This window comes from Homo sapiens, chromosome 17, assembly GCF_000001405.40.
Source record: "Homo sapiens chromosome 17, GRCh38.p14 Primary Assembly".
Classification (NCBI taxonomy): Eukaryota; Metazoa; Chordata; class Mammalia; order Primates; family Hominidae; genus Homo; species Homo sapiens.
This window is the reverse complement of record NC_000017.11, coordinates 4,360,742-4,383,748: the sequence shown is the minus strand read 5'-3', so window position 1 is coordinate 4,383,748 and position 23,007 is coordinate 4,360,742. Positions and strand designations below refer to the sequence as shown.

Genomic DNA, 23,007 nt, shown 5'->3' with positions numbered 1-23,007 from the left:
ATCCTAACACTTTGGGAGGCCGAGGCAGGCAGATCACTTTAGGTCAAGAGTTCAAGACCAGCCTGGGCAACATGGTGAAACCCTGTCTTTACTAAAAATACAAAAAATTAGCTGGGCATGATGGCTAGCACCTGTAATCCCAGCTACTTGGGAGGCTAAGGCAGGAGAATGGCTTGAACCTGGGAGGCGGAGGTTGCGGTGAGCTGAGATGGTGCCATTGCACTCCAGCCTGGGCAACAAGAGCGAGACTCTGTCTCAAAAAAAAAAAAAAAAAAAGAAAGAAAGAAATGTTAAATTCAGCTCCCAGGATTTTGAACCATTAAGGAATCAGCTCACAGCCTCTTCATACTCATCACACTGTGGGTTCCTTTATCCCTGTGTATCTGCATGGGCCCCTGTAAAGAATGGGCAAGGGTGGGTGTGGTGGCTCACGCTTGTAATCCCAGCACTCTGGGAAGCTAAGGCGGGTGGATCACCTGAGTTCAGGAGTTCGAGACCAGCCTGGCCAACATGGTGAAACCCCATCTCTACTAAAAATACAAAAATTAGCCAGGCATGGTGGCACACGCCTGTAGTCCCAGCTACTCAGCAGGCTGAGGCAGGAGAATTGCTTGAACCCGGGAGGTGGGAGTGGCAGTGAACCGAGATCTCACCACTGCACTCCATCCTGGGTGACAGAGTGATACTACCTCTCAAAACAAACAAACAAACAAAAAACCGCCGGGCTCTGTGGCTCACGGCTGGGCACGATGGCTCACACCTGTAATCCCAGCACTTTGGGAGGCCGAGGTGGGTGGATCACCTGAGGTTGGGTGTTCGAGACCACCCTGACCAACATGGAGAAACCCCGTCTCTACTAAAAATACAAAATTAGCTGGGTATGGTGGCCTGTAATCCTAGCTGCTCGGGAGGCTGAGGCAGGAGAACTGCTTGAACCCAGGTGGCGGAGGTTGCAGTGAACCGGAGATCGCACCATTGCACTCCTGCCTGGGTAACAAGAGCGAAAACAAAAACAAAAGAACAAAACAAAAAAACAAAAGAATGGGCAAAAGGTCTTGGGATTCCCGAAAAGGGCTGATTTGGGGTCTAGGTGAGGTGAGGTGTTAAAGGAATTTAATGTGTCAGATGATATTTGTGAGGCCATGTCATGAACCACTGTTCATGCCTATAATCCCAAAGACTTGGGAGACTGAGGCTGAAGGATCACTTGAGGCCAGGAGTTCAAGATCAGCCTGGGCAGCATAGTGAGATCCCTGGCTCTACAAAAAAAATCTAAAAATCAGCCAGGTGTGGTGGCGAATGCCTGTAGTCCCAGCTATTCCAGAGGCTGAGGTGGGAGGATCGTTTGAGCCCAGGAGGTCAAGGCTGCAGTGAGCTATGATGGTACCACTGTACTACAGCCTAGATCACAGAGTGAGATCGTGTCTCCAAAAAAAAAAAAAAAAAAAAAGACAATATTTATGTTAAGCCTTGAAGGACAAAGCAAGAAGGGAATTTCTGAGCAACTACGGCATGCCAAGTATTCTGCTGAGCCTTTGTCTGCATTTTCTCATTTAATCTTCACAGTAATCCTGTGAGGTTGTATTCCCTTTTTATTACATGACAAAACTGAATTGGCAGGCAGGAAGTGAGGCTGTCAATATTTCAGAGCCAGCCTTTAGTCTCAGCACTGCCATTTGGGGAAAGGAGACTGGTAAATTGGCAATTTCAGCACAGGTACTGTTTCTCACCAGCCAGTGCTGGGCAATCAATAAAAATCCAGAAACCTGTTAGCCCCAGCAGGGACCTACCCACTGTGCGAAGAGGAGGAGGAAACCTTGGCTGTCATCACAGCAGCCAGAAAGGGCACCACCACTCTTTGGCTTCTGCAGTCTGGGCCGACACCAAGAGTCTGGACTTTTCTGCTCACAGCATGTCTATGAACCTGGAAGAGTGGCATCAAATGCTGATGTCCTGAGCCACAGGCTCAGGGCAGTCCCAGGCTGGGGGATGCCATTCCCACATTGTGACTGCTTTTTTTTGAGACGGAGTTTTGCTCTTGTTGCCCAGGCTAGAGTGCAATGGCATGATCTCCGCTCACCGCAATCTCTACCTCCCGGGTTCAAGCAATTCTCCTGCCTCAGCCTCCTGAGTAGCTGGGACTACAGGCGCCCACCACATGTGATTGCTTTTAATCACCCTCCCGCCTTTCAGGGTCACGGATCCCAAGCCCCTTATGAGCCTTGTCTTCAGTCACCTGCTCACTGAGGCTGTCTTTTAAGCAGAAGTTGTGTTTCCTGCCCGTGTCACCCATAGCACGCCAGGAACTGTTGTCACCCTGGCCACTCTAAAGAGCTACATCTGCTTCCTTGGAGCTGTTTCTGATGATGAAAAAGTCATAAAAAGGCTGGGTGCAGTGGCTCATGCCTGTAATCCTAGCACTTTGGGAGGGCAAGGTGGGAGGATCACTTCAGCTCAGCAGTTCAAGACCAAGCTGGGCAACATAGCGAGATCAAAAAAAAAAATTTTTTTTTTTGAGACAGAGTCTCGCTCTCCCGCTCTGTTGCCCAGGCTGGAGTGCAGTGGCAGGATCTTGGCTCACTGCAAGCTCCGCCTCCTGGGGTCACGCCATTCTCCTGCCTCAGCCTGCTGAGTAGCTGGGATTACAGGCGCCCGCCACCATGCCTGGCTAATTTTTTTTGTATTTTTTAGTAGAGACAGGGTTTCACTGTGTTAGCCAGGATGGTCTCGATCTCCTGACCTCGTGAACCACCTGCCTCGGCCTCCCAAAGTGCTGGGATTACAGTCATGAGCCACCATGCCCAGCCTTTTTTTTTTCAATTGGAAAAGTATGGCCGGGCATAGTGGCTCACGCTTGTAATTCCAGCACTTTGGGAGGCCGAGGTGGGTGGTTCACGAGGTCAGCAGTTCAAGACCAGCCTGGCCAACACAGTGAAACCCTGTCTCTACTAAAAATACAAAAATTAGATGGGCGTGGTGGGGGGGCACCTGTAATCCCAGCTACTCGGGAGGCTGAGGCAGGTGAATCGCTAGAACCCGGAAGGCAGAGGTTGCAGTGAGCCAGGATTGAGCCACTGCACTCCAGCCTGGGTGACAGAGCTAGGATCTGTCTCAAAAAGAAAAAAAAGCATAAAGGAAGGCCAGGCGCAGTGTCTCATGCCTGTAATCCCAGCACCATGGGAGGCCGAGGCAGGCAGATCATGAGGTCAGGAATTCTGAGACCAGCCTGCCCAATATGCTGAAACCCTGTCTCTACTAAAAATACAAAAATTAGCCAGGCAGCTGGGCACAGTGGCTCACTCCTGTAATCCCAGCACTTTGGGAGGCCAAGGTAGGTGGATCACCTGATGTCAGGAGTTTGAGACCAGCCTGGCCAACATGTTGAAACCCCCCCACCTACTAAAAATAAAAAAATTAGCCAGGCATGGTGGCACATCCTTTTATTCCCAGCTACTCGGGAGGCTGAAGCAGGAGAATCATTTGAACCCGGGAGGCAGACGTTGCAGTGAGCCCACATCATGCCATTGCACTCCAGCCTGGGCAACAAGAGCGAAACTCCATCTCAAAAAAAAAAAAAAAAAAAAAAAAGGCCAGGTGCAGTGGCTCACGCCTGGAATCCTAGCACTTTGGGAGGCTGAGGCGGGTGGATCAACTGAGGTCAGGAGTTTGAGACCAGCCTTACCAATATGGTGAAACCCCGTCTCTACTAAAAATACAAAAATTATGGGCCGGGCGCTGTGGCTCATGCCTGTAATCCCAGCACTTTCAGAGGGCGAGGCGGGCAGATCACAAGGTCAGGAGATCAAGACCATCCTCGCTAACATGGTGAAACCCCGTATCTACTAAAAATACAAAAAATTAGCTGGGCATGGTGGTGGGCTCCTGTAGTCCCAGCTACTCGGGAGGCTGAGGCAGGAGAATGGTGTGAACCCGGGAGGCGGAGCTTGCAGTGAGCCGAGATTGCGCCACTGCACTCCAGCCTGGGCAACAGGGCGAGACTCCATCTCAAAAAAAATAAAAAATAAAAAATAAAAATAAAAATACCAAAACTAGCAGGGCGTGCTGGCATGCACCTGTAGTCCCAGCTACTCGGGAGGCTGAGGCAGGAGAATCACTTGACCCAAGAGTCAGAGGTTGCCCTGAGCCAAGATCGCACCACTGCACTCCCGCCCGGACGGCAGAGCAAGACTGTCTCAAAAAAAAAAAAAAAAGAATGTCTGAGCCAGCAAGACAATTAGGCTAGGAAGCTCTAAACCTGTACTGTTCAGCACCATAACCACTAGTCACATGAGCGCGCCTGAGATGTCCTTTTTTTGTTCATTTTTGACACAGATTCTGGCTCCCGGGTTCAAGCAATTCTCCTGCCTCAGCCTCCCGAGTAGCTGGGATTACAGGCGCCCGCCACCACGCCCAGCTAATTTTTTGTATTTGTAGTAGAGACGGAGTTTCACTATGTTGGCTGGGCTGGTCTCCAAGTCCTGAGCTTGGGCAATCTACCTGCCTCGGCCTCCCAAAGTGCTCGGATTACGGGTGTGAGCCACCACACCTGGCCTATTTTCCTTTAATTATTATTATTATTATTATTATTTTTAATCTACAAAAAGTTAGTAAAGTTAATAGAGGCTTATTCTGTGGTGTCAAGAACACAGAATAAGACTCTGTTAACTTTACTAACTTTACTTTAGATTAAAAAAAAAAAAGAACATGAGGCACGCTATTTGGTACCACCCTCTGCCAGGTACACAAATCCAAATACCCAAATTAAATAAGCAGAGTCCTATACTTATCTGGGAGAATTACCCTGTTATTGATTTTATAGGATTCATGAGTTCATTCAGGAGATATTTGTTAGGTGCTACTGTATAGCATCATTATATTAAACTCTGCGAACAAAGACATGAAAGACAGTCCTGCCATCACAAGCTTATACACAGAAAAGAAAAATAATCAACTGCAATCCTGCATGACAAATGCTAGGATAAGAGATGTAATACAAGCTGGAAGTAGGAAACAGGGAAGATAAGATTAGTTTAGAGATTGCCAGAGGTATTCTGGAGGAAGTTGCTTCTTTCAAGGATCTGAAAGATGGATTTGTAGGTATTAACCACATACATCTAGCAGAAATGAGTGCTATTTGCTTGTTTATTTGTTTGTTTTTGAGACGGAGTCTCGCTCTGTTGCCAGGCTGGAGTGCAATGGCGCGATCTCAGCTCACTGCAACCTCCGCCTCCTGGGTTCAAGCGATTCTCCTGCCTCAGCCTCCCGAGTAGCAGGCGTGCACCACCACGCCTGGCTAATTTTTGTATTTTTAGTAGAGACGGGGTTTCACTATGTTGGCCAGTATGGTCTCCAACTCTTGACCTCATGATCCCCCGCCCCCGTCTCGTCCTCCCAAAGTGCTGGGATTATAGGCGTGAGCCAGCACGCCTGGCCCAGAAAAGAGTGTTTTAAGCTATTGTAACACCAAATGGAAAGACCTTTTGGAGGAAGGAAAGAAGTGTAGTGTGTCAGAAGTAGAGTGTGTCAGGATGAGGCTAGAGCATCCCTAGAGACTAGATTGTGAAGGGCAGACATTTAAGCCAAAATGGGGTCAGGCGCGGTGCCTCACACCTATAATCCCAGCACTGTGGGAGGCCGAGGCAGGCGATCACTCGAGGTCAGGAATTCGAGACCAGCCTGGCTAACACGGTGAAACCCTGTCTCTACTAAAAATACAAAAAATTAGCCGGCCGTGGTGGCGGGCGCCTGTAGCCCCAGCTACTCAGGAGGCTGAGGCAGGAGAATCACTAGAACCTGGGAGGCGGAGGTTGCAGTGAGCCGAGATCCTGCCATTGCACTCCAGCCTGAGCAACTAAGTGAGACTCCTTCTCAAAAAAAAAAAAAAAGAAAGAAAGAAAGAAAAAAGAAACACGGTTTCAACCGGGTATGGTATGGTGGCTCACACCTATAATCCCAGCACTTTGGGAGGCCAAGGTGGGTGGATCACAAGGTCAGGAGTTTGAGACCAGCCTGGCCAACATGGCGAAACTCCATCTCTACTAACAATATAAAAATTAGCCAGGCGTGGTGGCACATGCCTGTAGTTCCAGCTACTTGGGAGGCTGAGGCAGGAGAATAGCTTGAACCCGGGAGGCAGAGGTTCTGGTGAGCCGAGATCAGGCCACTGCACCACTGCACTCCAGCCTGGGCAATAGAGGAAGACTATGTCTCAAAAAAAAAAAAAAAAAAAATGATGGTCAGGATGGGTGGCTGGAAACCGAGAATTTGGGGTGTGGTGTGGTTTTGGGTGACAAGACTGTCTCATGTGAACATAGGCCAGCTGGTGGGAAGGGGAGGAGAAGAAGTCAAGTGGTGACAGGCAGGGGTACTGGATGGGTCATCCACGTGGGTAATTAGGTCCCCAAGGAGAAGGGCTGGAGTAGAAGGAAGAGAAGGGCTGTGAGGCAGGAACCAAAGTTCGTGATGAGCGGGTCTGCCGGTCACAGCACCAAAGGGGAGTAACAAGTGCTGCAGCTGGATGGCATTAACCTCAAACGAGCTAGGGGCTGGCCGGGCGTGGTAGGTCACACCTGTAATCCCCAAAATTTGGGAGGCCAAGAATGGGCAGATCACTTGAGGCCAGAAGTTCGACCAGCCTGGCCAACGTGGTGAAACCCCGTCTCTACTGAAAATACAAACATTAGCCATGCGTCGTGGTGGGCATCTGTAATCCCAGCTACTCGGGAGGCTGAGGCAGGAGAATCGGTTGAACCCAGGAGGCAGACAGTGAGCCAAGATCACGGCACTGCACCACTCCAGCCTCAGTGACAGAGTGAGACTCAGTCTCAAAAAAAAAAAAAAAAAAAGGTCCGGGCATGGTGGCTCACGCCTGTAATCCCAGCACTTTGGGAGGCCGAGGCGTGCGGATCACCTGGGGTCAGGTGTTCGAGACCAGCCTGGCCAACCTGGTGAAACCCCCATCTCTACTAAAAATACAAAAATTAGCTGGGCATGGTGGTGTGTGCCTGTAATCCCAGGTACTCGGGAGGCTGAGGCAGGAGACTCGCTGGAACCCGGGAGGCAGAGGCTGCAGTGAGCAGAGATCATGCCACGGTACTCCAGCCTGGGTGACAGAGCAAGACTCCGTCTCAAAAAAATAAATACATAAAAATAAAGGCTGGGCGCAGTGGCTCACGCCTGTAATCCCAGCACTTTGGGAGGCCGAGGCAGGCAGATTACCTGAGGTCAGGAGTTTGAGAGCAGCCTGGGCAACGTGGTGAAACCCCAACTTTATTAAAATACGAAAATTAGCTGGGCGTGGTGGCACACATCTGTAATCCCAGCTATTTGGGAGGCTGAGGCAGGAGAATCCCTTGAACTCAGGAGGCGGAGGTTGCAGTGAGCCGAGATCGTGCCACTACACTCCAGCCTGGGCGACAGAGCAAGACTCCATCTCAAAAAACAGAAACAAACAAACAAAAAAGCAAGGGCCCAGGTGCAGTGGCTCACAAGTGTAAACCCAACACTCTGGGAGGCTGAGAGGGAAAAGGTGGCTTGAGGCCAGGAGTTTGAGAACCTGTTTCTTTTTTATTTTATTTTTTTTGAGACAGAGTCTCACTCTGTTGCCCAGGCTGGTGCAATTTCAGCTCACTGCAACCTCTGCCTCCCGGTTTCAAGTGATTCTCCTGCCTCAGCCTCCTGAGTAGCTGGAACTACAGGTGTGCCACCATGCCAGGCTAATGTTTGTATTTTCAGTAGAGACGGGGTTTCACCACGTTGGCCAGGCTGGTCGAACTTCTGGCCTCAAGCGATCTGCCCATTCTTGGCCTCCCAAATTTTGGGGATTACAGGTGTGACCTACCACGCCCGGCCAGCCCCTAGCTCGTTTGAGGTTAATGCCATCCAGCTGCAGCACTTGTTACTCCCCTTTGGTGCTGTGACCGGCAGACCCCCTCATCACGAACTTTGGTTCCTGCCTCACAGCCCTTCTCTTCCTTCTACTCCAGCCCTTCTCCTTGGGGACCTAATTACCCACGTGGATGACCCATCCAGTACCCCTGCCTGTCACCACTTGACTTCCTCTTCTCCCCTTCCCACCAGCTGGCCTATGTTCACATGAGACAGTCTTGTCACCCAAAACTGCACCACCCCCTGATTCTCAGTTTCCAGCCACCCACCCTGACCACCATTTCTTATCCTTCCAGCTTACTTGATTTAGTGTTCACACCATGCAACTCTTCCACCTCAACAGGACCCCGTTCTGTGTACCATTTTTCACTATCCGTCATTTCCCTTCTGTTTTGTCTTCCTTCTCTTCCAAGCTTAGAGAATAGTCCATTACTACAACCCTTCTCTGCATACACCCTCAACCAACTCAGCTGTTTGTCTCCCTCTCTCTCCGTTTTACTTGCCTGGCTGATCCTCAAGCCTGAATGAACCCAACTACAAGTCATAACTGCACCTGAGCAACTGAACATTACTGGAAAAAAAAATAAGAAAAACCTCAACTGGACCTACAGGTTGCACTTTCAGTTCATGACCACAAACCTCAAATAAACTCCCAGCATTGAAACCTCCACCTCCTTGCCCTCTACTCAACCTTCAGCCCACGCTGCTCTGACAGCCCTCAACACTGCTCCATCAACATCCTCCATCAGGGTCAGCAGCAACTTCCCGGTTTCAGAATTCAAAGCACACCTCTCAGCCTTCGTCTTTCTCTACTTCTCAGCAGCATGGAGTTGTTGATCATTCCTTCTTTCTGGGAACATTTTCTCATCTTGGCTTTTGCGAAACCACACCAAGTTTCTCTCCTCTTTTGTCTTTTCTTTCTCAGCCTCCATTGCTGGCTCCTTCTCCATCTGACCTCTAAATCTTGGGGTGCTTCAGGGCTCATTTTTAGGCCTTTTTATTGTTATTTTTTATTTTATTTTTATTTATTTCTTTATTTTTTGGAGACATAGTCTCACTCTGTTGCCCAGGCTTGAGTGCAATGGCGCGATCTCAGCTCACTGCAACCTCCGCCTCCCGGGTTCCAGCGATTCTCCTGCCTCAGCCTCCTGAGTTGCTGGGATTACAGGCACGCGCCAACACGCCTGGCTAATTTTTATATTTTTAGTAGAGAAGGGGTTTCACCATGTTGGCCAGGCTGGGCTCGAACTCCTGACCTCAAGTGATCCGCCCACCTCAGCCTCCCAAAGTGCTGGGATTACAGGCATGAGCCACAGCGCCAGGCCTATTTTTTATTTTTTATTATTTTTATTTTTTTTGAGATGGAGTCTCACTCTGTCACCCAGGCTGGAGTGCAATGGTGCGATCTTGGCTCACTGCACCCTCCACCTCCCAGGTTCAAGTGATTCTCTCACCTCAGCCTCCCGAGTAGCTGGGAGTACAGACGCCTGCCACCACACCTGGCTAATTTTGTATTTTCAGTAGAGAAGGGGTTTCACCATGCTTGCCAGGCCTGTCTCGAACTCCTGATCTCAGGTGATCCACCTGCCTCAGCCTCCCAAGGTGCTGGGATTACAGGTGTGAGCGACAGCACCCGGCCTATTTTTAATTTTTTTTTTTTTTTTTACAGATATTGTCTTACTGTGTCACTCAGGCTGGAGTGTGGTGGTGCTATCATAGCTCACTGTAGCCTTAAACTCCTGGGCTCAAGCCATCCTCCTGCCTTAGTCTCCTGAGTAGCTAGGACTACAGGCATGCGCCACCATGCCTAGGTAAATTGTTTTCATTTTTTTGTAGAGAGGGAGTCTCACTATGTCACTATGTTGCCCGGGCTGCTTTTTTGTTTTGTTTTTAAACATCATTACACATTCTCCCCAGGAAACCTAACACTGACCTCTACAAATTTATGTCTGTAGCTTTGGTCTCTTTGCTGAGCTTGTCTTATTAGCATATGCTAATGTGACACCTCTGATTGGATGTCTAATAAACAAACAAAACATAACTCATCCAAAATAGATGACTTGGTATCACTCCAAACCCTATACTCTTCCCCATTTTGAAATCAAACCAGTTATTCCAGAAGTCATAAACCCAGGAATCATCCTTGATTCTTCCCCTTCCCCCCACCCACATTTATTAGCAAGACCTTTCCATTTAAATTTAAAACTGTATTTCAAATCCTTTCCCATTCCACTCTCCTGACAAATTTTATCATCCTTGCTCCTATTCTGGTTCAAACCATCAGGAACTTTGCCTTATCTTCTGTGATAGACTTCTAACTTGTCTTCTAGCAATGTTTTCTCTTTTATTTTTTTCCCTCTTTTTTTCTTTCCATTTTTTTAAGAGACGGGGTCTCACCATGTTGCCCAGGCTGGTCTAGAATTCCTGGGCTCAAGCGCTCCTCCCACTACAGCCTCCCAAAGTGCTGAGATTACAGGCGTGAGCCACTACACCCAGCCCTCTTTTCAATAAATTACAAAATGAGATTTAAAAAATGTAAATCTGGTGGCCAGGCACGGTGGCTCACGCCTGTATTCCCAGTACTTTGGGAGGCTGAGGCGGGAGGATTACAAGGTCAGGAGATTGAGACCATCCTGGCCAACATGATGAAACCCCGTCTCTACTAAAAACACAAAAATTAGCTGGGCGTGGTGGTGGGTGCCTGTAATCCCAGCTACTTGGGAGGCTAAGGCAGGACAATAACTTGAACCCAAGAGGTGGAGGTTGCAGTCAGTGCCACTGCATTCTGGCATGGCAACAGAGCAAGACTTCGTCTAAAAAAAAAAAAAAAAACGGCCAGGCACAGTGGCTCACACCTGTAATCCCAGCACTTTGGGAGGATCAAGAGTCAGGAGATCAAGACCACCTTGGCTAACACGGTGATACCCCGTCTCTACTAAAAATACAAAAAAAAAAAAAAAAAAAAATTAGCCGGGCGTGGTGGCGTGCACCTGTAGTCCCAGCTACTTGGGAGGCTGAGGCAGGAGAATGGCATGAACCCGGAAGGTGGAGCTTGCAGTGACCACTGCACTCCTGCCTTGGCGACAGAGCAAGACTCCATCTCAAAAAAAAAGAAAAGAAAAAAAAAGTAACTCTGGTGGGGCACAGGGACTCACGCCTAAAATCCCAGCACTTTGGGAGGCTGAGGTGGGTGGATCACCTGAGGTCAGAAGTTCGAGACCAACCTAGCCAACATGGTGAAACCCCGTCTCTACTAAAAATACAAAAATTAGTAGGGTGCGGTTTTGCACACCTGTAATCCTAGCTACTCAGGAAGCTGAGGCAGGAGAATCACTTGAATCCAGGAGGCGGAGTTTGCAGTGAGCCGAGATCACGTCATTGCACTCCAGCCTGGGCGACCAGAGTGAAACTCTGTCTCAAAGAAAGAAAGAAAGAAAAAACAAGTAATCCAGATCACTCTCCTCCGAAGGCTTTTATTTATTGCAACTAAATGAAATTCTGAACTCTTCACTGTGGTCAACAGGGTCCTCTGAGATGACACCTGCCTGCCTCTCCCACCTCCACTTACAGCCGCTTTTTCATTAGGCTGTAATGGAGCTGCCCATCCATGCTGATCTCCTTTCTGGCCTTTTTATTATTTTTTTAAATTTTAAATTTATTTTTTATTATTTAAAAAAATGAGACGGCTGGGACTTGCGGGCCGTGGGGGAGAGGGTGGGGTGGGTCTCACGATGCTGCCCAGACTGGCCTCAAACTCCTGGGCTCAAGAAATCCTCCTGCCTCAGCTTCCCAAAGTGTTGGAATAACAGGCTTGAGCCACCGCATCCCACCCCACCCTTTCTAGTCTTTCTTTGTAGCAGCTGATAATTCTCAATTGAGAGTCTTTCCTACCACTGGGCTTTAGCAGTAACCATTTGCTCTGCCTGGAATGCTCGTCCCCAGAATCATCAAATGGCATATCCTGTTTGTAATCTCATTCTAATTAAAATCTTTTCAAAGGCCTTCCCTATTTTATCTAGAACAGACCCTATTCCTCAGTTGTTCACACACCCTATTCATTTCCATCTTATCACTTATCATAATCCAATGCTGATTTTTTTTTTTTTTTTGGAAACAGGGTCTTGCTCTTTTGTCCAGGCTGGAGTGCAGTGGTGTGATCATGGCTCACTGCAGTCTCAACTTCCTGGGCTCAAGGGATCTTCCCACCTCAACCCTCCTGAATAGCTGGGACTACAGGCATGTTCTGCCATGTCTGGTTAATTTTTTAATTTTTTTTTTTTAGACGAAGTCTCGCTCTTGTCCCCCAGGCTAGAGTGCAATGGTGCAATATCGGCTCACTGCAACCTCTGCCTTCTGGTTTCAAGCGATTCTCCTGCCTCAGCCTCCCGAGTAGCTGGGATTACACGTGCCTGCCACCATGCCTGGCTAATTTTTGTATTTTTAGTAGAGACGGGATTTCACCATGTTGGCCAGGCTGGTCTCGAACTCCTGACCTCAGGTTATCCACCCGCCCCGGCCTCCCAAAGTACTGGGATTATAGGCATGAGCCACCGCACCCGGACAGTTTTTAAATTTTCTGTAGAGATGCGGCCTCACCTTGTTGCTTAGGTTGGTCTCGAAATCTTGGGCTCAAGAGATCTGACTGCCTCGACCTCCCTAAGTGTTGGTACTACAGTCGTGAGCTACCAGGCCTGAACAAATGTTGACCTTAATAGTTGTTTACTTCTTTTTTTTTTTGAGATGGAGTCTCACTCTGATCTCAGCTCACTGCAAGCTCTGCCTCCCGGGTTCAAGTGATTCTTGTGCCTCAGCCTCCCGAGTAGCTGGAATTAAAGGCATGTGCCACCATGCTCGGCTGATTTTTATATTTTTAGTAGAGACAGGGTTTCTCCATGTTGGCCAGGTTGGTCTCCAACTCCTGACCTCAGGTGATCCACTCACCTCGGCCTTCCAAATTGCTGGGATTATAGGCGTGAGCCACCACGCCTGGCTGTTGTTTACTTTTTGACTATTCTGTCCCATTAGATGTTACTGTCATGAGGTAGGAACCTGGTCAGTGTAGTTTACACCTAGACCTTGAGTCCTAGGATTGTGTCTAGCTCATAGCAGTTGCTCAGTAAATGTTTGTTAAATAAAGCAATAGTTAGACAGTTGGGTGTGCAAGCGTTCATTCAGGCTTGAGGATCAGCCAGGCACTAAAATGGTGAGAGAAGGAGACAAACAGCCAAGTTTGTTGAGGGCGTATGAAGAGAAGGGTTGTAGTAATGGACTACTCTCTAAGCTCAGAAGAGAAGGAAGAGGAGAACAGGAAGGAAATGACAGATAGTAAAAAAGTGGTAAACAGGGCTGGACGCGGTGGCTCATACCTCTAATCCCAGCACTTTGGGAGGCCGAGGTGGGCAGATCACGAGGTCAGGAGATTGAGACCATCCTTGCTAACATGGTGAAACCCCATCTCTACCAATAATACAAAAAAAAAGAGCCAGGCATGGTGGCACGCGCCTATAGTCCCAGCTACTCGGGAGGCTGAGGCAGGAGAATCACTTGAACCCGGGAGGCGGAGGCTGCAGTGAGCCGAGATCGCACCACTGCACTCCAGCCTGGTTGACAGAGCGAGACTCTGTTTTAAAAAGAAAAGAAAAAAAAAAGTGGTACACAGAATGGGGTCTTGTTGGTGTGGAAGAGCTGTGTGGCGTGAACGCTAAAGCCAGTAAGCTGGAAGGATAAGGAATGGTGGTCAGGGTGCGTGGCTTGAAACCAAGTACTGGGGTGTGGTGGAATTTTGGGTGGCGAGACTGTCCCACGGGAACACGGAGAGGCCAGCTGGTGGGAAGGGAAGGAGAGGAAGTCAAGTGGTGAGAGGCAGGGGTACCGGACGGGTCATTCATGTGGGTAATTAGGTCCCCAAGGTGGAGGGCTGGAGTAGAATGAAGAGAAGGGCTCTGAGGCAGGAGGAAAAGTCCATGATGAATGGGTCTGCAGGTCACAGCACCAAAGGGGAGTGGCAAGTGCTGCAGCTGGATGGCATTAACCTCAAAAGCAAGAGGGCCCAGGTGCAGTGGCTCACGCGTGTAATCCCAGCACTCTGGGAGGCCAAGGCGGGAGGATCGCTTGAGACCAGTTTGAGACCAGCCTAACCAACAAAGCGAGACCCACTCCTTGGACTTGGTCTGTCATACCAATGGCACCCAGTCACCCGGGTCAGGAGAGTCACCTGTGGTGCTCCCTGCTCTTTCCTATATCCCATAGATCACCAAGGCCTACATATTCTTTGTTTTTTCGTTTTTTGTTTTTTTTGAGACGGAGTTTCACTCTTGTTGCCCAGGCTGGAGTGCAATGGCACAATCTCAGCTCACAGCAACCTCCCCTTCCCGGATTCAAGCAATTCTCCTGCTTCGGCCTCCCAAGTAGCTGGGATTACAGGCATGCACCATCACGCCCGGCTAATTTCGCCTTTTTTTTTTTTTTTTTTTTTGAGACAGAGTCTTGCTCTGTCGCCCAGGCTGGAGTGCAGTGGTGCGATCTCGGCTCACTGCAACCTCTGCCTTCTGGGTTCAAGCGATTCTCTTGCCTCAGCCTCCCAAGCAGCTGGGACTACTATTAGCTGGCCACCACGCCCAGCTAATTTTTGTATTTTTAGTAGAGACGGGGTTTCACTATGTTGGTGAGGCTGGTCTTGACCTCCTGACCTCGTGATCCACCTGCCTTGGCCTCCCAAAGTGCTGGGATTATAGGAGTGAACCACTGCCCTAGGCCCTAATTTTGTATTTTTAATAGAGACGGGGTTTCTCCATGTTGGTCAGGCTGGCCTCGAACTCCTGACCTCAGGTGATCTGCCCGCCTCGGCCTCCCAAAGTGCGGGGATTACAGACGTGAGCCACCTCGCCTGGCCACCAAGGCCTAAATATTTTATGGACACTCCTTAATCCAAGTCTTAGTTACTGCCACAATCTCCATAAGGGTCTCCAGGCTTTAAAAATTTTTATTAAAATTTTAAAATGTTTATTAAAAAAATATTTTGGGCTGGGCATAGTGGCTCATGCCTGCAATTCCATCACTTTAGGAGGCTGAGGCGGGTGGATCACTTGAGCCCAGGAGTTCAAGACCAGCCTGGCCAACATGGTGAAACTCTGTCTCTACCGAAAATACAAAAATTCTCCAGCCATGGTGGCACAGGCCTGTAATCCCTGCCACTCAGGAGGCTGAGGCACGAGAATCACTTGAACCAGGGAGGCAGAGGTGCAGTGACCTGAGATTGTGCCACTGTACTCCAGCCTGGGCGACAGAGGGAGACTGTTTCAAAACAAAACAAAACACACTTTTTTGTAGCGATAGGGTCTTGCTCTGTCACCCAGGCTAGTCTCTAGCTCCTGGCCTCAAGTGATCCTCCTGCGTGGAGTTTCCAAAGAGCTGGGATTACAGATGAGAGCCACCACAGCCTGCAGGGCACTGGTCTTGACCCTCCCTCCCTCATCAATTCTCTGCAGCCACAGCAAAACATTCAAAATGCAAGTCTGCTATTTTTCTACTCCTAGTTAAAACTTTTCAGGGGCCTCCCACTGTTTAAGGATTAGGTTCAATTTCTAAACCTTTATCCAGCCCTGATCTTTCACCAGATTTGGAAATTATTACAAAAAATAAATCTTTTTTTTTTTTTTTTTTACAAAAAATAAATCTTAAGAAACTAGGAATAGGCCGGGCACAGTGGCCCTTGCCTATAATCCTAGCATTTTGGGAGGCTGAGGCAGGCGGATTGCCTGAGTTCAGGAGTTCGAGACCAGCCTGGGCAACATGGTAAAACCCCATCTCTACTAAAATACGAAAGAAAATTAGCCTGGCCTGGAGGCGTGCGCCTGTAGTCCCAGCTACTCAGGAGTCTGAGGCAGGAGAATTGCTTTAACTCGGGAACCTGAGAGGCAGAGGTTGCAGTGGGCCAAGATCACGCCACTGCACTCCAGCCTGGGCGACAGAACAAGGCTGTCTCAAAAAATAAATAAATAAATAAATAAAATAAAAAAGAAAGAAACTAGGAATAGAAGTAAATTTCCTTGATTTGGTAAAGTGAAATATCAAAATGGTCCCTTTGGTCTATTTGATAGGGGGCAGTGGTTCACACTTGTAATGCTAACACTTTGGGAGGCCGAGTTGGAAGGACTGCTTGAACCCAGGAGTTTGAGACCAGCCTGGGCAACACAGAGAGACCTCTGGCCCCCCCCTCCTTTTTTTTTTTTTTTGTGAGACGGAGTCTCTCTCTGTCGGCCATGCTGGAGTGCAGTGGCACCATCTCGGCTCACTGCAATCTCTGCCTCCTAGGTTCAAGCAATTCTCCTTTCTCAGCCTCCCTGGTAGCTGGGAGTACAGGCGCCTGCCACCAGGCTGGGCTAATTTTTGTATTTTTAGTAGAGACCAGGTTTCACCATGTTGGCCAGGATGGTCTCGAACTCGTGACCTCAGGTGATCTGCCCACCTCGGCCTCTCAAAGTGCTGGGATTACAAGCATGAGCCACCGCGCCCCGTCAAACCCCCCGATCTCTATAAAGCAAATAAAAAAATAGCAGGGCATGGTGGTGTGTACCTGTAATCCCAGATACTAAGGAGACTCAGATGGGAGGATCCCTTAAGCCCAGGAGTTCCAAGCTGCAGTGAGCTATGATCACTGCACTCCAGCCTGGGCGACAGAGAGAATTGCCGTCCATAAATGATAATAATAACAGGGCCGGTCTCGGTGGCTCAATAATAATAGGGCCGGACGCGGTGGCTTTTTTTGTGCACTCTTCATGTAAAGTGAGTTATCATCATATATTGCCTCTATTTTGATGTTTGGTTAAAATGGGGCACACCAGTACTAACTTCGGCTTTCTAACAATTCCTACTTCGCACACCATGTGGCAGTGTTAGATGGCTTTTGGGCGCTCGCCAAGGACTAGACATCTACCACTTCTTCTGGCCTCTTCGCTCCTATATCCACTGCTTCAATCCAGAGGCTGTATTTGACCCTCTGCGACCTCTTTGTCATGGCGTCCGCGGGGCGTCTACCAGCGGAGGCTTGGGCTGGCAGCCGGGCGTCGACCTTCCCAAAATGGCGGCGGACGGGACAACTGCGCTCAAGGGGCGGGGTTCCGCCGCCGGGGGCGGGGCGGGAGGCCGAGGGGTCGGGCTAGCGGGCGGGACGCTTCCCAAGTCGGCAGTCTCAGCGCGCCTGCGCCGAGCGGCCCTGCGCGCAGTGAGGCAGTGGCGGGGGAAGGCACCGGTGGGGCCGACGGGCGGGTTGAAGGAGGGAAGCGGGCGAGCGAAGTCCCAGTGCGCGCCGCGGCAGCCCGGGCACCCTCCCCTTCCGGGCGTGAGTCGCTGTGAAAAGAGCTGAAGCGAGCGGACTCGCACCGGCAGCGAGGCGCCGCTCCCGCCGCCTCAGCCCGGCCTTCCTCGGCTCCGGCGCTCCGGTCGCGGGGCCCGGGTTCCTCGGCACACCCCGCTCCAGCCGCCCCCAGAGCCTGTCCCCAGCCCTTCGGAAGCCCCGGCGCCAGCCCGGGCCCTCGGCAGGGAGGATGACGGAGCTGCAGTCGGCACTGCTACTGCGAAGACAGCTGGCAGGTGAGCAGGCGGGCGGCGGGGCGCCGGGCCCGGCCGCGATCGCGGACAGCCGCAGCCCAGTCCCTCTTCTCCTCCCGGGCCAGCGGCCGTACTGCCGAAGGGGCCCGGGCCTGCGAGGGTGGGGACCTCGAGGCTCCGGTCCCGGCCGGGCCCAGCCGTTCTCGCCCGGCTCTTGGAGGGCACTGGGGGCGGGGACGCGACCCAGCTCCGGCCCAGGGACTGGGCCTGGCGCCCGGGGGGTCGGAGAGGAGGAGGTCCCCTCCCCCACCGTTCTGTAGGACGTTGCGGGGGAGGGGCTGTGTGCGGGTCCCCAGGCCGGGGCCGCCAGCTTGGAGGGGCGGGTCCCGGGTTCAGGTGCTGCCGGGGCCGCCGGACCTTCGGGGCCGGCTGGAGCGTCCGGACCCAGTGCGGCTGCGAGTCCCCGGCTCGGTGTCTGAGGGCGGGCGGAAGGGACCGGCCCTGGCGGGATAGGTGAGGCGCACAAAACTTCTCCCCGGGCGGCGCTGGGTCCGCGGAGTTGGGGCCGACAACAAAAGCGCTGGCCTCGGCGGCCTCCACGCGGGCGCGAGGGTGCCGGAGACCCTGGCGGAGTGCGGATCGCCGCCTCGCCTGCCTCCGCCTGGCACGGGCTCCGGCTGCGCCGCCCGGCTGGGGGAGGGTAGGAGCGGGCCGCGGGGAGAGCCGCTCGCTGGCCGGCTCCGGGCTTTGTGCTCGCCGCGATTCCGGCTGCTGCGCAGGCCTGCAAACCCCGGAGCTGCGCCCGCAGGCTCTGGCCCGGGGCGGCGGCCGGGTCGGCCTCCCCGAGGAGCCTGCGGCCCCCCTCCCCCATTGTCCCGGCCTCCGGCCGTTTGCGGCTTCCAGGTTGACTTTTTAGGGGGTTGGCTCCTACTCTGCTAGGACTGTGTGCGCGGAGCATGCGCAGTGGAGACGTCCGTGTGCGGAGTGGAAGGGGGGAGGCGGGTTGGTGGCTTCACAATGCAGCCCCACGTGCTGCCAGATTTAAAGAGAAATGAACCAGCACTTACCCCTGCTGTACAACACCCGGCGTGTGTCATTCTCAGTTCAAGCGATCTTCCCCCTACCCACTCTAAAACCAGTAGCCTCTAGCCCTCAGCAGAAGCCAAAGACTGGAGTGATGAAATCTGTTTTTGAAATACATTTACTAAGAGTTTGAGGTGTTCGTTAAATCACCTTTATGGCTTCTTAAGGAAAAGGTTGTCAGGGGTTCTTACAGATTGTATAATTGGGTTTATTATTAGACCATGAGCAAGCAGGTTTGGACAAGTATTAAAGTTCTAGATGCTCAGGGGGAGTTAGCTTGCAGTAAATGGAGAAGTTCTAATGATACTACAGGATACTCATAAAAATTATGTGCTGGAAAAGCACTGAGGCCGGGCGCGCTGGCTCACGCCTGTAATCCCAGCACTTCGGGAGGCCGAGGCTGGCGGATCACCTTAGGACAGGAGTTCAGGGCCAGCCTGGCCAAAGTGGTGAAACCCCCGTCACTACTAAAAATACAAAAAATTATTCGGGCGTGGCGGAGGGCGCCTGTAATCCCAGCTACTCAGGAGGCTGAGGCGGGAGAATTGCTTGAACGCGGGAGGCATCGTTGCAGTGAGCTGAGATCGCGCCATTGCTTTCCAGCCTGGGCAACAGAGCGAGACTCTGTTCAAAAAAAAGAAGGGCCGGGCGCGGTGGCTCACACCTGTAATCCCAGCACTTTGGGAGGCCGAGGCGGGCGGATCACGAGGTCAGGAGATCGAGACCATCCTGGCTAACACGGGGAAACCCTTTCTCTACTAAAAATCCAAAAATTAGCCGGGCGTGGTGGCGGGCGCCTGTAGTCCCAGCTAATCGGGAGGCTGAGGCAGGAGAATGGCGTGAACCCGGGAGGCGGATGTGCAGTGAGCCGAGATGGCGCCACTGCACTCCAGCCTGGGCGACAGAGCGAGACTGTGTCTCAAAAAAAAAAAAAAAGAACTTTATTGCATTTTTTTTTTTTTTTTTGAGGCAGAGTCTCACTCTATTGCCCAGGCTGGAGTGGAGTTGCGCGATCTCGGCTCACTGCAACCTCTGCCTCCTGGGTTCAAGTGATTCTCCTGCCTCAGCCTCCCGAGTAGCTGGGATTACAGGCGCGCGGCACCAAGCTTGGCTAATTTTTTGTATTTTTAGTAGAGATGGGATTTTACCGTGCTGGCTAGGCTGGTCTTGAACTCCTGACCTGGTGATCCGCCTGCCTGGGCCTCCCAAAGTATTGGGATTACAGGCGTGAGCCACCGTGCCCGTCTGCATCTTTTTTTTTTTTTTTTTTTTTTTTTTTGAGACGGAGTCTTACTCTGTTGCCCAGCTGGAGTGCAGTGGCGCAATCTCGGCTCACTGCAAGCTCCGCCTCCCGGGTTCACGCCATTCCCCTGCCTGAGCTTCCCGAGTAGCTGGGACTACAGGCGCCCGCCACCACGCCCGGCTAATTTTTTGTATTTTCAGTAGAGACGGGGTTTCACTGTGTTAGCCAGGATGGTCTTGATCTCCTGACCTCGTGATCCGCCCGTCTCAGCCTCCCAAAGTGCTGGGATTACAGACGTGAGCCACCGGGCCCGGCCTCTCTGAATTCTTACATAATGGAAAAGATAAACATTTAAAAGGTGTGAAAGAAGTTATGCATTACTAAGAAAGTAAAATAAGATAACAATGTCAGCAGCAGCAATGTGTGAAAGGATTTCCTATCCGTTTGTGAACCAGCTCTAGATTTTGATGGTCATCTGGTTCCGTTTTGCACTTTTTTTTGACAATGTATATAGCAAATATTAATAAAACGTCCCAAAGCTCTTTCTTAATGATTGACTTTCTGATGGGGCATACTAAAATACACTTTAAGATAGAGGAGAGAACAATTTAATTTGTATTTTTTCAGGCCTCATTGTAAAGTTACTTAGCTGCAGATTTAAGTTTTCCTGCCTTCTTGATCAGAAACAATGGGATTGTTTTTAATTTTTTTTTAAAATTTGAAGCATGTTAATTAACATGCTCAAAATGTACAAAGTAGTAGGGCAAGGCAAATGAATTTTAATTGAAATGTAAACATATCAAATTTATTGGAAAGATTCGATAACTACACACAGTGAAATAAAAGCCTTGTTTTATTTTATTTTTGAGACAGAGTTTTACTTTGTTGCCCAAACTGGGGTGCAGTGGCGAGATCTTGGCTGACGACAACTTCTGCCTCTGGGTTCAAGTGATTCTCCTGCCTCGGCCTCAGAGTTGCTGGGATTACAGAAGCCCTCCACTGTGTCTGGCCAATTTTTGTATTTTTAGTAGAGACAGGGTTTCACCATGTTGGCCAGGCTGGTCTCGAACTCCTGACTTCAGGTGATCCACCCACCTCGGCCTCCCAAAGTGCTGGAATTACAAGTGTGAGCCACCACCACCTTTCACCCAGACTGGAGCGCAGTGACATAATCTCAGTTCACTGCAACCTCCGCCTCCCAGGTTCAAGCGATTCTGCTGCCCCCTGCGGCCCCCAGTAGCTGAGATTACAGGCATGTACTACCACGCCAGGCTAATTTTTGTATAAAATTTCCAAAAACTTAAAACAACAATGGCTACATTTATTGAACCTCTAGTCTGTCAATCCTTAAGGATTTAAATTAATTACTTGGTAGAATATATCGGGTATGTTTTGTTGATAACATAATGAAGAATCTGGTTACTTTCAGAATTGAACAAAATGGTTCCTTGGGTTGTGGAGTGTCTCAGTCTTGGCGCTACTGACGTTTTGGGTTGAGTATTGTTGTAGGGCCTATTCTGTGCATTATAGATAGAATGTTCAGCAGCATTCGTGGCCTTCACCCACTAGATGCCAGTAGCATACTCCCTTAGTTGTGACAACCATAAATGTCTCCATTGCCAAATGTCTCCTGAGGGACAAAATCATCCCAGATTGAAGATTACTGAGTTAAAATGTTTCAGAGAAGACCATTATGGCTAATTGTTAAGCAAATAAAGACACCTAACAGATTCATGAAATCAGATAGGTTGTGTATTTCTCTGTGGATATTATTAGACTATGACTTACTCCTTTGCAAATTGAGCGGTGGCAATTCAAGTTTTGCAGTGCCTTATGTTAAACACTAAAAAATCCCTCAGCACAGGAGATACTTTTAAAACATTTTATCTTTTGAAAAGGTATTATAAGCATTGGTTAAAAATGCAAAGAGTACAAAAAAACATAGTCTTTTCACCCTGGCCATAAGTTCTTTTTGTGGAAGCAACCCATCATTGACAAATATGTCTTTTTTTTTTTTTTTTTTTTTTGAGACAGTCTTGCTCTGTCGCCCAGGCTGGATTGCAGTGGCCCAGGCTGGAATGCAGTGGCACGATCTCCGCTAAGTGCAACCTCCGCCTCGCGGGTTCAAGCGTTTCTTGTGCCTCAGCCTCCCAAGTAGCTGGGATTACAGGTGTGTGCCACGATGCCCAGGCTTATTTTTTGTATTTTTAGTAGAGACAGGGTTTTTGCCATGTTGGCCAGGCTGGTCTTGAACTCCTGATCTCAGGTGATTCACCCGCCTCAGCTTACGAAAGTGCTGGAATTACAGGCATGAGCCATCATGCCTGGCTGACAAATGTGTCTTTTCAGAGAGGTTCTTGTATGTATGTTTATATAGGCTAACGTTTACTGAGGACTAACATGTACCAGGCACTGTGCTGAGTACTTTATATATTTATTTTATTTTATTTTTATTTTTTTGAGACGGAGTCTCACTCTGTCACCCAGGCTGGAGTGCAGTGGTATAATCTCAGCTCACTGCAATCTCTCCCTCCTGGATTCAAGGGATTATCTTGCCTCAGTCTCTGTAGTAGCTGGGCTTACAGGTGCTGGCCACCATGCCCAGCTAATTTTTGTATTTTTAGTAGAGATGGGGTTTCACCATGTTGGCCAGGCTGGTCTTGAACTCCTGACCTCAAGTGATCTGCCCACCTTGGCCTCCCAAAGTGCTGGGATTACTGGCGTGAGCCACCACCCCTGGCCTCTATTGCATTTTTTTTTTCCCAACACAGAGTCTTGTTCTGTCACCCAGTCTGGAGTGCAGTGGTGCGATCTTGGTTCACTGCAACCTCCGCCTCCTGAGTTCAAGTGATTCTCCTGCTTTAGCCTCCCAAGTAGCTGAGATTACAGGTGTCCACCACCACGCCCAGCTAATTTTTGTAGTTTTAGTTGAGACAGGGTTTCGCCGTGGTGGCCAGGCCGATCTTGAACTCCTGACCTCAGGTGATCTGCCCACCTTGGCCTTCCAAAGTGGTGGGATTTACAGGCAGGAGCCACTGCGCCCAGCCCGTCTATTGCATAGATGTATATTTTTTGAGACGGAGCTTCACTCTTGTTGCCCAGGCTGTAGTGCAATGGCATGATCTAGGCTCACCACAACCTCCGCCTCCCCAGGTTCAAGTGATTCTCCTACCTCAGCCTCCCCAGTAGCTGGGATTACAGGCATGTGCCACTACACCTGGCTAATTTTGTATTTTTAGTAGAGA

The 23,007-nt window shown here is 50.1% G+C and overlaps 1 protein-coding gene and 1 pseudogene across 1 annotated transcript in view, besides 8 other annotated features; both read left to right on the top strand.

Moving 5' to 3' along the window:
* Nucleotides 466-965: an enhancer, noted in NCBI's record as "H3K27ac hESC enhancer chr17:4286079-4286578 (GRCh37/hg19 assembly coordinates)". NCBI's record gives its function as "activates a minimal SCP1, AML or CMV promoter by ChIP-STARR-seq in primed H9 embryonic stem cells {active_cell/tissue: H9 hESC(primed)}" and the evidence as "EXISTENCE:reporter gene assay evidence [ECO:0000049][PMID:30033119]".
* Nucleotides 8,374-8,423: an enhancer, noted in NCBI's record as "active region_11539". NCBI's record gives its function as "activates an Ori minimal core promoter by ATAC-STARR-seq in GM12878 lymphoblastoid cells {active_cell/tissue: GM12878}" and the evidence as "EXISTENCE:reporter gene assay evidence [ECO:0000049][PMID:35858748]".
* Nucleotides 13,953-14,002: an enhancer, noted in NCBI's record as "active region_11538". NCBI's record gives its function as "activates an Ori minimal core promoter by ATAC-STARR-seq in GM12878 lymphoblastoid cells {active_cell/tissue: GM12878}" and the evidence as "EXISTENCE:reporter gene assay evidence [ECO:0000049][PMID:35858748]".
* Nucleotides 16,904-17,603: a silencer, noted in NCBI's record as "silent region_8036". NCBI's record gives its function as "represses an Ori minimal core promoter by ATAC-STARR-seq in GM12878 lymphoblastoid cells {active_cell/tissue: GM12878}" and the evidence as "EXISTENCE:reporter gene assay evidence [ECO:0000049][PMID:35858748]".
* Nucleotides 16,904-18,433: a biological region, named in NCBI's record as "Sharpr-MPRA regulatory region 13848".
* Nucleotides 16,941-17,235: an enhancer, noted in NCBI's record as "tiled region #13848; HepG2 Activating DNase unmatched - State 1:Tss". NCBI's record gives its function as "activates a minimal TATA promoter and a strong SV40 promoter by Sharpr-MPRA in HepG2 cells {active_cell/tissue: HepG2}" and the evidence as "EXISTENCE:reporter gene assay evidence [ECO:0000049][PMID:27701403]".
* Nucleotides 17,055-17,741: an enhancer, noted in NCBI's record as "NANOG-H3K27ac-H3K4me1 hESC enhancer chr17:4269303-4269989 (GRCh37/hg19 assembly coordinates)". NCBI's record gives its function as "activates a minimal SCP1, AML or CMV promoter by ChIP-STARR-seq in primed H9 embryonic stem cells {active_cell/tissue: H9 hESC(primed)}" and the evidence as "EXISTENCE:reporter gene assay evidence [ECO:0000049][PMID:30033119]".
* The window catches only part of UBE2G1 (ubiquitin conjugating enzyme E2 G1), a 97,417-nt gene continuing 91,483 nt past the window's right edge, over nt 17,074-23,007 (top strand). Inside the window, exon 1 of the mRNA NM_003342.5 lies at nt 17,074-17,478. Within this exon, the coding sequence (NP_003333.1) occupies nt 17,433-17,478 (46 nt within the window). The 5' untranslated portion in view covers nt 17,074-17,432. The remainder of the gene's footprint in view (nt 17,479-23,007) is intronic.
* Nucleotides 17,654-18,433: a silencer, noted in NCBI's record as "silent region_8035". NCBI's record gives its function as "represses an Ori minimal core promoter by ATAC-STARR-seq in GM12878 lymphoblastoid cells {active_cell/tissue: GM12878}" and the evidence as "EXISTENCE:reporter gene assay evidence [ECO:0000049][PMID:35858748]".
* RN7SL774P (RNA, 7SL, cytoplasmic 774, pseudogene) lies at nt 19,296-19,585 on the top strand (annotated as a pseudogene).